The sequence below is a fragment of the Homo sapiens genome, chromosome 5 (genome assembly GCF_000001405.40).
Source record: "Homo sapiens chromosome 5, GRCh38.p14 Primary Assembly".
Taxonomy (NCBI): Eukaryota; Metazoa; Chordata; class Mammalia; order Primates; family Hominidae; genus Homo; species Homo sapiens.
Window position 1 is genome coordinate 92689607 of NC_000005.10, and position 14025 is coordinate 92703631.

Genomic DNA, 14025 nt, shown 5'->3' on the forward strand with positions numbered 1-14025 from the left:
CCCCAGCAATACATAAAAATGTGGATTTGTCTTTGCTTTCCAAGAGATTTTTTAGAACTGTGATGACCAGATCTTTAGAATTTTCTTCGGATTCTAGTAGTGCAATCCCCAGAGGTTAGTCAAAAGCTAGTAGTCATTTCCCACAGACCTGGATAGCAACAATTACTTAGACAGTTTTTACTTACTTAACTAAATAAGAGAGCAGAGGAAGTATGAATTAAATGTAGTTATTCTAAGTTTCTAGGGTTTATATCATGGAAGCCAACTGTTGAACTACTAATAAAAATCTATTTTGAAGCTGCTGATCTGGCCCTCGAATGCATCCTTCATGCTCTGCCCACAGGTACCTGCAAATTGTGTAGGTGGCCAAGCAATGGAGACATACCTTGAGCCTTGAGTAAGCAGTTTTGGGGTTAAGCAATTTGGAGGAAGCAGGAGCTGGCCAAGTAAATGTAACGTTTCCTTTGTATCATTGGAACTAGAGCCATTTTGCTCACCCAATAAAAATGTCTAGCTAGGCAGGGCGCTGTGGCTCACGCCTGTCATCCCAGCACTTTGGGAGGCCGAAGCGGGCGGATCACGAGGTCAGGATATCAAGACCATCCTGGCTAACACGGTGAAACCCCATCTCTACTAAAAATACAAAAAATTAGCCGGGCGTGGTGGCGGGCGCCGCCACGCGGGGGGACGCTGAGGCAGGAGAATGGCGTGAACCCTGGAGGCGGAGCTTGCAGTGAGACGAGATGGCGCCACTGGACTCCAGCCTGTGCGACAGAGCAAGACTCCATCTCAAAAAAATAAATAAATAAATAATAAATAAATAAAATAAATAAATTAAAAATGTCTAGCTAATAATTTTGGTCCCATCAAAGATAAAAAAGGCTGCCTGAAAAAAAAGAAAAAAGTAACTTCTAAATCACCTGTGAATATTAATTAAACTGTACTGGAACATTTCAATTCCTTAAGTCAGATCCAGAAATAGAAGAGAAAGAGAAAGGGGACAGGGCCTATGAGTAAACATAATATGCTTAGAAATTATATCTAACATTAATCACATTTTTCCTGTGTCCCTTGGCCTGTGCAGTGCTTGAACTCTTTCAGACCAATTATTTCCTTTAATACATGAAATTCTTTTAATTTTTAAAATTAAATGTACCTAAATTTAGAATTGTTCTCTTATTCTAACTTTATGCTTAGTAAGATAAGATTTTTTTCTTATTCAATTTCAATTTCTCCATTTTCATTTTATTTTTGGAAGGTGAAAATAAAATTAATATAGAAAACACGATATCTCCTGGGCATGGTAGCTCATGCCTGTAATCCCAGCATTTTGGGAGATTGAGGCTGGTGGATCACTTGAGGTCAGGAGTTCGAGACTGGCCTTGCCAACATGGTGAAACCCTGTCTCTACTAAATATACAAAAATTAGTTGAGCATGGTGGTATGGGCCAGCAATCCCAGCTACTCGGGAGACTGAGGGAGGAAAATCGCTTGAACCCGGGAGGTGGAGGTTGCAGTGAGCTGTGTTTCTCCCATTAATTTTATTGTGCCAAAATTGCGGACATGAAAATACTACAACCAAATCATTAGTTAAGTCTGTAAACATCATTTTAGACACAGAAGTAAGTTTGACACCTACAAGTATGAAACAGAGAAAACACAAAATGATTGTTGTTCTTATAAATTGTTTAATAGAAAATTAGCTAAGTATTATGCTTACTTGACAAAGAAAAAGTAATATATTTTCCTACAGTTTTTATTTAGAAGAATAGATTAATGTAAATGTCTCTGATAATGACTACCAATCCAGAATGAGAATTTATGTCAACGTTCTTTCTTTAAGGTTTTTGAAATATCATTCCCAAACATTTCATAAAAACAGCCTTCTGGGTTTTTCTTCTGCGGCCTACTTATGGCATATTTTACTTTGAAACATAAAATGAAAGAGAGAGAGAGGTGAGCATGTATTTATAAAGAAAAGTAATGAAAATATCCAGAATCTACAAATAACTTAAACAAATTTATAAGAAAAAACAAACAATACCATCAAAAAGTAGGTGAAGGATATGAGCATACACTTCTCAAAAGAAGACACTTATGTGGCCAACAAATATATGAAAAAAAGCTCATCATCACTGGTCATTAGAGAAATGCAAATCAAAATCACAATGAGATACCATCTCGCACCAGTTAGAATGGCAATTATTAAAAAGTCAAGAAACAACAGATGCTGGAGAGCATGTCGAGAAATAGGAACATTTTTACACTGTTGGTGGAAGTGTAAATTAGTTCAACCATTCTGGAAGACAGTGTGGCGATTCCTCAAGGATCTAGAACCAGAAATACCATTTGACCCAGCCATCCCATTACTGGGTATATACCCAAAGGATTATAAATCATGCTGCTATAAAGACACATGCACGTGTATGTTTATTGCGGCACTATTCACAATAGCAAAGACTTGGAACCAACCCAAATGCCCATGAATGATAGACTGGATAAAGAAAATGTGGCACATATACACCGTGGAATACTATGCAGCCATAAAAAAGGATGAGTTCATGTCCTTTGTAGTGACATGAATGAAGCTGGAAACCATCATTCTCAGCAAACTAAAACAGCAACAAAAATCCAAACACCACATGTTCTCACCCATAAGTGGGAGTTGAACAATGAGAACACGTGGACACAGGGAGGGGAACATCACACATTAGGGTCTGTCGGGGTGGGGGCTAGAGAAGGGATAGCATTAGGAGAAATACCTACTGTAGATGATGGGTTGATGGGTGCAGCAAACCACCATGGCACATGTATACCTGTGTAACAAAGCTGCACGTTCTGCACATGTATCCCAGAATTTAAAGTATATAAAAAAGGAATATAAATATTTTTTAAAAATTTACTAAAGATTTGAAATCAAATGACGAGTTTGTTTCTTTACATAGAATTGTGTTAGGAAATGTGGTTGACAAAGTGGAAATGCATATGTCTTTAATAGCAAATTGTTCTCACAGAGGTCAATACGTATTTCATTGATTGATTGATTCAATAAATAAATAAATAAATGTTGAACAACTACTATGTAGCAAGTGCTGTATTCAAGTCTGGCTTATTTTTGTGAACATGGCAAGAAAAGTGAGCAATTTTATGAAGCTTATACCATAGTAGAGATTTAGGTAAACAAATCCACAAGTATGATAAAGCAAGAGAAGGTTACTATTGCATATAGTAGGAACCCCTTCACCCAGATTCATTAATCTTGGAAGATGGTCAGGATAAGTGGTAAAACTGGCCTGAATGAGTGAAAAAATAATTATATAGAAAGGAAGAGGAGGGGATTTGAAAAAAAAAAGACTATTATTAAAGGAAAAATGAATGTGAGAATGCAATAGAGGAAAGAAGAAGGAATGAGGTGAAAGTAATAGGTTCCCAAAGGCCATAATATAAAAGGAAGTTGTTAGTCATGTTATGAGTTTGACTTTATCCAGAAGTAATGGAGAGCTATCAAATGGTTTTAAACAGCAGAATGATCAAACCAGATTTGCATTTCAGAAATTTTCTTCTTACAACCATGTGGGGAATGAAGAGGGACAAAATTTAAGGTAAGGAGTTCATACAGGAGAGATTATTGTAGTCTAAACTAACACAGTGACAGTGATTATAGATAGAAGCAGCCCTATCTGACAGCTATTTAGAAGGTAGAATGGGTAGAGGTTAGTCTTGGCTTGGATGTGAGAGAAAAGGGAGAAGTGGTAGTCAAAGATATAAGCAGTATATAAATCATACCAAATTATTTCAATGCTACATTTAATTTACTTACATGTGCTAATCCACTATGTACCCAAATATAAGGAAATGATAGCATAAAGAAGAAGGTGTCATAAACAGAAGTTTATTTATCTAAATATTTTCCATAATCTCAAACACCATGATGATACTTTGACATTCAATCACTTTTTCTCATTTTTCTGGGAGCATAATTTTTTCTTAACTGTTTTACTTTTTACTAATAATTTTCAAGTTTAAAGAAAATTGCTGTTTTCTATAAAATTACATAAAACAAAAATGTCCAAAAATAAGAAAAATTATGGCCTGTGTAGCATCATCAATACTTGCCAAATGATCAATTACATAGAAAATACCCAATAACTTACAAATAAACTTTTTCCCCAGTCTTAATAATGACAGGGTCAAACCAAAAACAGCACTTTATGGAGAGATATTATAATATTTAGAAATGTTGTTTGTATAATTATTAATAAGTATACATTAAAATGAGTGCATTAATCTTTTAATTTGGTTCTATTTATCTACTGACTCATTCAACAAACTATCATTTTATGAAATATAAACATTTATGCAAATTTTATATGAAATTATAAAAATCAAGGGAATTACAGGCTTACAACATTCCCTCATTCTAGGTTTATTATTTTAACACATTTTTGGAGAGAGAAAAAGAGAGACAGAGACAGAGAAACAATTTAGTTAGCATCAAATAATTCACCTCCATTCTGAAAAACTAACCTGGGGAAAAGATGAGAATAACCAGGCAATAGTGAATGTAGATATTTGCCTAGAACATTTGATCCCAACATTTACAGTTTTGGTAGCAGTGTGCTTTTGGTTCCGTGAGAAGAAAAGTGAGGTCAGAATCCACTGATCTGGCAGTTTCTTTGGTTTCATAATAAACATCCCAGTGGTTTAAGCAAAAAGTAGGAGTAGAGCATAGGGCAGGATGAGAGTGTGGAATTTTGTTAATTTCCTGCTCTCGATTTGGGTGTCTAATAGATACTTTTCTGAATTAAAAAATGTTTTCAGTGCTCTAAAGTCAGAGCAAAATCAATATGCTTTGAATCACTTGTGTCACCCTAGATCTTCCAGGAATCAAGATGAATATGGGCAGGTGGGGTGTACCATGGACTTGCTAGTTGGCCAGTTGTTGACATTTTTTAAGTCTCTCAAATACAATTACATCTGAAATTGTAATTGATAAATATTTCTAAAATATAGAGCCAAGTATCTCTAGAGTGCTGGTAGGAAAAAAGTTAACTGGAGACTACTGGCTATGAAAAATATAATACAGAAAATTTGTCTTGTGGAGGAATTATCATTCTAACATTTATTAGGACAACTTAAATATTATAAAGAAAGTTCCCTGTAAGTAAGATACCATATGTCCTCACTTTTCTAGTATGTTTCACAACATTATTCCTGTTTCTTGGTTTTATTAATAATAGTACCATTTTGTTCATAAGCAGTCTAAGTTTGGATGATAAAACACATGGTTACCCCACTAATAGGACTTTAGGATCATAGATGCTTGGGCAATATGGGCATAGAGTATTCTAAGGTGAACCTCCTATTTTCAGACATGATAAAATGACATAGGGCTCAATATCAAATGGTGACATGATATATTTTGATATTCAACTGCTTCTAAAAATGATATTAATAAAGATAAGAAAATCCTAAGGTAATGAAATTATGTAAAAATTGTGTGAACAAGGCACTAAGTATGTATGCATTGTGTAACTGGTGAAAATAAACCTTTGGCTACATAACCTTTACTGGTTATTTTCATGATTGCATTACATTTTTAAAATTATGAAAAAGTAAGATCCAAAAGTTTCTCTGACTCAGGTCTCCATGAATGGTGAGTATTAGGGATTTCTAGTCTTATAAAAGGTAAGATTAATGTTTGACTATCAGCACACTATCTTTTGTCATTCTGCACAAAACTTTTAACTTTGGAATATCGTTTTGCACTAGTAAACCATTGGGAGCTTGTACTCACATTATCCTCAGCTCCAAATGAGCTCACTTGGTTAAATGGTGCAAATTAGGAAGCAAGTTTTATGAAATTTGAAAATCTTAAGTGAAAATGATAAAGAAAGAAATGAAGGTGCCCAGCAAAAGACCCAGTGAAATCAGTGGCTTGCAAAGTGTTAAATGTGTTTATTTGCACTTTCAAAGTTCAAATTTCCTCATACATTTTCATACTGATGGAGATAAAATGCTAAAGTCTTAAATCCCTCTATGCCATGCTGAGTTGCTAAGGGCTGTTGAGTTTTTGTTATTTCTCCTCTCGAGTTAGCTCTGATTATGCCTGCTGAGTGAAAAATTTGTATTTGCCGACAGAAATAGGAACCACCCCACGTGCACTTGCACTCAGCAAATGTTCCAATACATCACAAAGATTTGCTCAACCCACCTTCAGAGGCCAAATCGAGCATGTTATTTTCTGTTTAGATCTGATTCTGGAGCCTATCAGTCAGGAGTGTTTTCCAATCTCTGATTAAAGCAAGGCCTACAAAGCTGGAAGTGTTCACACACAGTCTCATTAGAGCACTGGATAGAGTGACCCAGGCCTTCTAGCACAAAGCTCTGAGTGAACTTCAAATATGAGAGTGCATCAATCAAATCCAAGCAACGCTTTTATGTCATTTTTCTACTTTGCCTTTAAAGTCCTATAGGAATGCCCTTTCCAGCTGTACAGCCGAAATGCATTCAATAGAAACAAAAAAGCAAAGACCCCCCCCAACCCCCTGACCCCTCCAAATGGGTATAATTTTTACCTCCCCCACAAAGCATTAGAGAGTCTTCTGGCATTTTAAATTATTTAGCATGTTTAACAATACAACGGAGAATATATTCGCATCACTCAATGCCTCTGTATTAATTATTAGTGCCCATTTGAAAGGGAAACCAATAAGGTCAAAGGCAATGAGATTGCGTATTGTATGTTTTAAATAGAGGTAGCTGAGAGATTGGGGGAAAAATAAAGCAATGCTGCTGGAGCTTTTTTATGCCCTGCCCCCAATTTTTGCTTTTTTGGTGTTGTCTTAGATCATTAAGAAAACAAAAAAGCAAAAGAATAAAATGAAAAAGGATCACCAAAAATCGTGGCAAGAAAGATGATAAGGCGTAAGTCTGAGAAAGAGGAGTGAGGCATTTAATGTTTGTTTTACATGCTGCTCAGGGCACTAGAGTCATTTTCAAAGACACATTTTTAAAAGATACGCATAAAGGCAAACAATATAAATTTGTCCGCTAATATCATTAGAGGAAAATGCATGGGTGCAGTTAGTAGTGATTATTAAATTTAAGAACTTTTCCTCCAAACATTGCGCCAAAAAACATTATACCACAACATCAGTATGAATTGAATAAAATGAGCTTTCGAATTCTGAAAAACAAAATAATTTAAAAGAAGAAAATAAATCTTCACTACAGAGTAGATAAAGTTTCCTGAATTTTATACCTCTTTGTGAATAAGTGAATAGTTCAACTATGGAAGATAATCTATCTTGATCCAATTAGGAAAAGCAATGTACCAAAAGTATAGTGCACGTTGTAATATAGGGCAAATAAATCGTTTATTCAAGGGAATTCCCTGTGTGTATACATTTGTTTCCATTTCTAGTTTTTTAGGCAAATACTAACCACAAATAGCACTTCACCCACTCAAATATATTGCAGCATGTAAAAGAGTGCTTGAATTTAGAGCAATATATATATATTTTTTAATTCAGCATGTGTTTCTTTACAGGGCTTCAGATGTTTGGAAGAATTATGCAGATTTTATAAATGAGTACTAGAGCATTATGCTACTTGATAGTGTCCCATCTGTGCTTCCCCTGTAGTGTTTGATGGGGCATCTGTGTAAATTGCTTTCTTTTTTTAGTTAATTAGTTTATTGCATAAAACTTAATGCGCTACCTGATAAAAACTTTTGTTCATTTCAGCACTTTTCCCCTCTGGAGCTGATGTTCATCTTTAGTTCTTATCAGGCCTAACTTCTTCCTTTGTAGCTTCCTAGACTGAAATAACAAAATAATGCTGTTTTCCTCTCTATTTTACCAGGCATATTGGATTCTGTTTCTGTGATAATAAATATTAAGATTGTAACTAATAATTTAAGTTGATTACCTCAATATTTCATATATTTTAACATAGCTTCCCAACAAAAATATTTTCTAATATATTTTTAAAGGACATTTTAAGATTTTTTTTAAAGGAAACCAACTTCCCAGAGAACAAATATACACAGTCAAGAAGTGTGTACAACCAATCCTTTTCTCTTGAAGGTATTCCTGCCTCCATTTAAACTGTTTAAGTTATGTTGGTATAGGACCACAAATCTTGTTGAAATGCAATAAAAAAAACAAAACACATTATAAAATCAGCTTCTCATTTTAATCTTGTTTAGTAAAAAAAATCAGAACTCTTAAATTATAAACTACATTTTTCACTTACATCTCAATATTTGTCCTCTGGAGAAGCAATGTGAGCTGAGGGAAGGAGGCATCCAAGACAGGAAAGAAAAATATCAAAAAATTTTATAGGCAATATCAATCACTGGGTAAAGGAATAGGTTCTGAATCAACATATATGAGCTGTGTAACACTGGGAATTTTTTTTCACACCTCTATACTCCACTTTCCTTATCTTTGAAATGATCTCATAGTGATATTTACCACATAGAGCACTTGTGAGTATGAAATGAGTTTATATTTGTCAGTGCATAAAACAGTATCTGGCATGTAACAATTGCTCAAAAAAAAAAAAATTGGCTATTACCGGGTTAATTTTGGTGAGAACAGCTATTTTGCTACAAATATAGGTAACAATAGTTAACTTCATATATCTGAAAGAAGTCACTGTTATTTTTCCAAAAATTAAAACACCTATTTTTATGTAAGATAGAATATTTAATTCAGAAGACTAATCTTAGCTATTTTGTAAGATATATCACCTTTTAAGAATAACCAAGAGGACAATGCTTTAGAAATAAATCCTATTTTATAAATCTTTTAAATTGAAGACTTGGCACACAGTCTGCCAGTTTCGAATTACACAAAAGCTTTGATTTAGTGCTGTTTATTTATTTTTCTATCATGATGGTCATTGTATATGTGAGATCCTTATGTCTTAAATACCATATAGGTAGACATTTTTGCACTTATAAGACCAGAAAAATTATTTATCCAGTGATACTATTTATTTAGTGGACCCTGACATTATAATTCATCTATAATATGATGTGCTAGTATTTGTGCTCCATTGTGCTCTCAGTCCAATAGATTATATATCTAGATTATATATATTACAGATATAGATTATATATAATCTATTGGACTGAGATTATAATAACATAAATTTGAGTTTCATCTTGAATTTACCTTACCTAAAGTCTTGGAAAGCCTGTCAATGAAGTGTGCTCTTGTTCATCTAAAAAAGTCAATGCAAGTGAACCAGCTAGAAAGTAGAATCTGGAACAACTTTTCAATATGTGAAAGTCAAAATCAAAATGTCAACTACTCTGACTTGGAGAAAATTGAGTTATCAACTAAACCCTCACACTATATAAATGGATAAGAATTCAGTAAACTCCAAGAGGGTTCTTAAACTCATATATTATATCTATTCTGTCCAATAGCATAAAAAGTTTAAAAGTTGTTCCATAGGATGGAAATACTTGTAAGCATCTTGCCTCAAGGTTTAAAATATAAAAGTTTCTAACAGTTACTTAACACATAAGAAAAAGAAAATACAATTTGACACCAGTCATAAAATCTATTGAAGAAAGAATATTTGTAGTCATAGCTTGCCTTTCCTGTGTGAAAAATGATGCATAATACAATCTTAATTGAGAAGCAATAGTGATAATTCACATTAAGTGTACCAGATATTCTAAAATTTGGTCTCTACATTTTCTCTTCTTTTCTTGGTAATATCATCTTAACAAACACCAGAAATTGAAAATCACACACACACACACACACACACACACACACACACACACACCCCATAGTGAAATGTTAACATCAAATTAAAAATTTCTAAAGTTTGGAGAGATTTAAGTAATAAGAAATATTTTATGGAAATCAAATCTATATATGACTTCCCAGCCATTGATGATTCTTAATGGCATGTGAGATTGACAATTACTTAGTTTTCCCTTGATAGAATAAGCAGTTATTAATCACATACCTTTGCTTGGTATTCCACATTGTGCTATAAGAGCTACTTGAAGATTTCTGGATTCCATCCTTACAATTTATGTATTACAAACAAATACTGCTTTGGAAAAGTTGGACCAACTTATTTTTTCTAAGCTTTATTCTATCTATTTGGCAAGATGTTCAAGATCCTTGGTAAATATGTTAAAATTAAGGGCCTCTTCTCTAAAAGCAAAATAAGTCATAATCACAGGTCTGAGATCATCTCCACGTTTTAGCCAACCTGGTTAACTTCTCTTTCTTTAATAAAATTCCACCATAGTTTAATTTTTAAGATGGCATACCTTTTCTAAAGTAACACTCCTTAATTTTATATTTGTGAAAACATATAATTCTGTTTCTCTCTCCAGTATTGTCACTATGAATTTTTGTATCCAAAAGAGAAGAAAAGAGACTAGTTTTTCAAAAACAGAAACTGTTATAGAGTAATTGGAATTGGTCAAATGAGAAATCAAATATACACACCGCCAGTAGCACTGACAAAGCAAAAAGTATCCAGCCAAAGTTAAAGAATTTCCTAAATTTGCTAATCATTATTTTTTAGACCAAGTTTCCACCCACCTACCCCCACCATTATATCAGGTTGAAGAGTCTAAAAGAAGATAGACCCAAAAGAGCAGTTTAAAATGCTTTAATTTTTTTAAATGTGATACTGTTCTTTTTAAGGGTTCTTTCATATGTGATCAGTCAGAGATACTGACTTTTGTGAGTTAACACAAAAGTGAAATCGCACTTTTAAGTGCTGTCTCTCTTTGGAGATTTAATGTGCTTTGTAATATCTCTGAGATCAGTCAGGGAGAGACGAGAAGAAAGAAATTTGATTTTGAGTCTGGACCAAAGCTCGGTGACTTGAGAGGCACCTAAACATAATGAAAAGGAAGAAGTTTCAAAGAGAAAGTTGGCAGCTATGACCAGAATCCACAGGGCTAGCAGGACTGACATCAACCAGAGGCAGATTTAGAGGGGTACCCTATGATCTCTCTTGATACCATTGACACTTCAAGCCCAGTTTCATTGGGGAGCAGTCCAGTAAAAGAACATCTCCAAAGAACACAGCATGGTTGCAGTATTGAGAAAGACATGAAAATGCAGGCACCAAGGGCCTAACGCTGTCCTTTTCTCCTCCAAAGATCACATACATCTGGGGAAAGCAAAAGTCAACATCTGAAACGTGCTTTTTTCAAGCTTGACTTAAGTGATATAAAGTTGGCCGTATAATAGCTAGATGCTTACCTTTGTGACCTAGGTTCAGTCTAATCTAAGAACAAGTTATTAGCTGATTCCTGGTAGTCTTCACTTATCTCCTGGTGAATAACTTTCTACCTCATTTTTTTTTAATTAAATTAACCATCAGCTAAATGTGTGTCAAATATTGAAAATCAGCACAGAGCACCCCCATTGCTTTGTTTGCTTCCAATGTTTTCAATGATCTATGGATTTCTGACGTTTCTGAAGGTTGCAATTTATGCCCAAATAGCTACGTATGAAATGTAAATTCTAAACTTGGTATAGAAATACCTAAACAAAAAATAATAACAATAGTGATCAGTAAAGTAAAGAAATCATACAAATATTTTAAGCTAGAATGTGTTTGTTGACAAAAGAGGTGGGTGCTTAAGTTCCACAGGTAATGACTTAGATACCCATTCCGCTTACACAGTATAAGAAAATAAAATATTTAGAACAGTGGATTTTAACCACATGTGAGATTTGAAAATTACAGACCAAATAGATTTATCATGATGATGTCTATGATAAGATGGCATCTCACTCCAGTGATGTGGGCTAAATTAATTGAACTGTAACTACAGAAAGTTTTATACATTTGCTTACATTAGATTTATGTTCAAAATAAATAAAATAATTGAGTTACCTGTCAAAATAACTAAGGTAAAAAAAATACCACTTTTAGCCTAGATACTCAGACAATAATTACAAAGACCTAATAATTACCATTTCGATTTTACTTATACTTCTTCATAAAAATTACTGATTTAGGATATATCTTCATGACATCAAAATATCTGATCAATTTGACATAAAGACTCATTTAAATTTAGTAAAATAATAGTCAAATCTTTCATAGAACATTAAATGAAATATTTTGTTTTAGGGGATTATGAAAGCATTTTGTGTGTACTTTCAAAGTTCTTTAACTAGAGCAGAATTTTAAGAAACTGAAAACTTCCATACAGAAAAGTCAATATTGTAATTTTACTATTATCTAATGTATCTTTTTGGTGAAACCAATCCTAGAGAAATTCTTGAGAATTCATATTTTTTGAGGTAACAAAAATTTGTCTTTTTTAAATTATGAAATAAGGTGATATAACAATATGTGATTTTAATCTAGCAAGAAGCTGAATTTATGGAGTTTCTTTCCCTATTGTAAAAAGTCAAATAAGATTATCTGATGGTGTTCTAAATATCGGCAGGAACACATGATTATACCATATAATGTAAGAAATTCAGATATTAGAAAGGTATTTTTTAGTACATAGGTTAAATATCAATGATATGGTTAGTAAATTAAGTTATAAAAGTGTTCTTTTGTGTATTACAAGTATTAAAATAAAACAAAATTTTTATTTTTTAGTGTTCCAACCTTTTCTATCCCTTTTAGAAATGTGCTTTTAGGCATTTCTTTTTCTTCTTCAAATCTAAAAAAGTATTTTATGCTAACCTGGAGTACCTAAACTAAATGTAATCCTTGGTTATATTTTGAAAAGGCTATATTTTGTTCTGTACAGAACTAGCACTCTCAGGAACCACATACCCTAGATATGAGTTTATAATTTTGGGCATGCACTATTATTAGCCAACTCAAATTCTATCCAAAATAAATATGTTCCTGTTAGTGTTGAGTATGCCTTTTCTATCCCTTACTCTAGATTTCAAATAGCTAGTTATAATTTTAATATTCTGTGAGCTTCCTATAAATAATGTCTGTGATTTCTTTGTAAAGTATCTGTATATACCAATCATGTATATATACTCATAAAAGTAAACTAACAGGAGGAAACATGATCCTATGGCAAACATTGAGAGTAATAAATGTTTTTCCTCTATTCTTATAAGAGAATAGCTGTTTTTATAAATGTATCCATATGAATTTGATGTTAATTATTTAATCCCACAAACATTTATTCAATATTTACATACCAGGTTCTGAGGATCCAGAAATGAACAAAACAGATGAAGTTCCTATTCCCATAGAGCTTACATTCTAGTGAGAGGAGATATATATTAAATAGATAAACAAATGATTATTATATATCTGTTATTGATAAATTATATGAATAAGAGGAAGGCAGGGCACAAGAATAGAAGGAGAATGTAGTGCAACCATGATTAATTTTATGATCCAACAAATATTAATATAATGGTCTTTCTCCAGTTGGGTTTGCTCTCATAACAAGTCTCCAGCTCAGTAAGAGTGAATTTTGTTTTGCCTAGAATATAAAGTGGAAGGAAATAACAAGGGAATTTTAGCCAGGGAAAGTGATTGATGTTCTATGGCCTAAAATAGTTCCTAATGATAAAACATTAAGACTCCAATTCAACTAACACATATTGGACATAATTATATGAAGGAATTTAATTTACGTGTACATTTCCCGTTATATAAATGGTCATTTTGGTGCCTGCTATTCTTTAAGTAATTGTGATTTATACTCCACAAAACATTATGTGATCAAACAAGTTAACATTCTTATCTTTGAGTCTCTTTTATTGCTATATTGTTGAATACACCATTACAAGGCAATGAATTTATTAGAGTAGTATTGATCCATGTGCTCTGTTTAGTTTGGTGATTACTAAAATCACTGTTAACATATGGGTGAGTCTTAGTTTCCAAAAAGGCCCAGTGAGGAATTTATTTCTAAATTTTAGTTACTTTATTATTAGTAGCTTTATCTTTACATTCAAACCTTTAAAATGACCCATTGTTTCAAATTAAACATTATTCTCAAAATAGTATTGCACTTCTTGATTTCAC

At 33.1% G+C, this 14025-nt stretch overlaps 1 annotated feature.

Moving 5' to 3' along the window:
* Positions 5775 to 7884: an enhancer, noted in NCBI's record as "VISTA enhancer hs1039". NCBI's record gives its function as "enhancer in: limb[3/7] | cranial nerve[7/7]" and the evidence as "EXISTENCE:transgenic organism evidence [ECO:0001131][PMID:17130149]".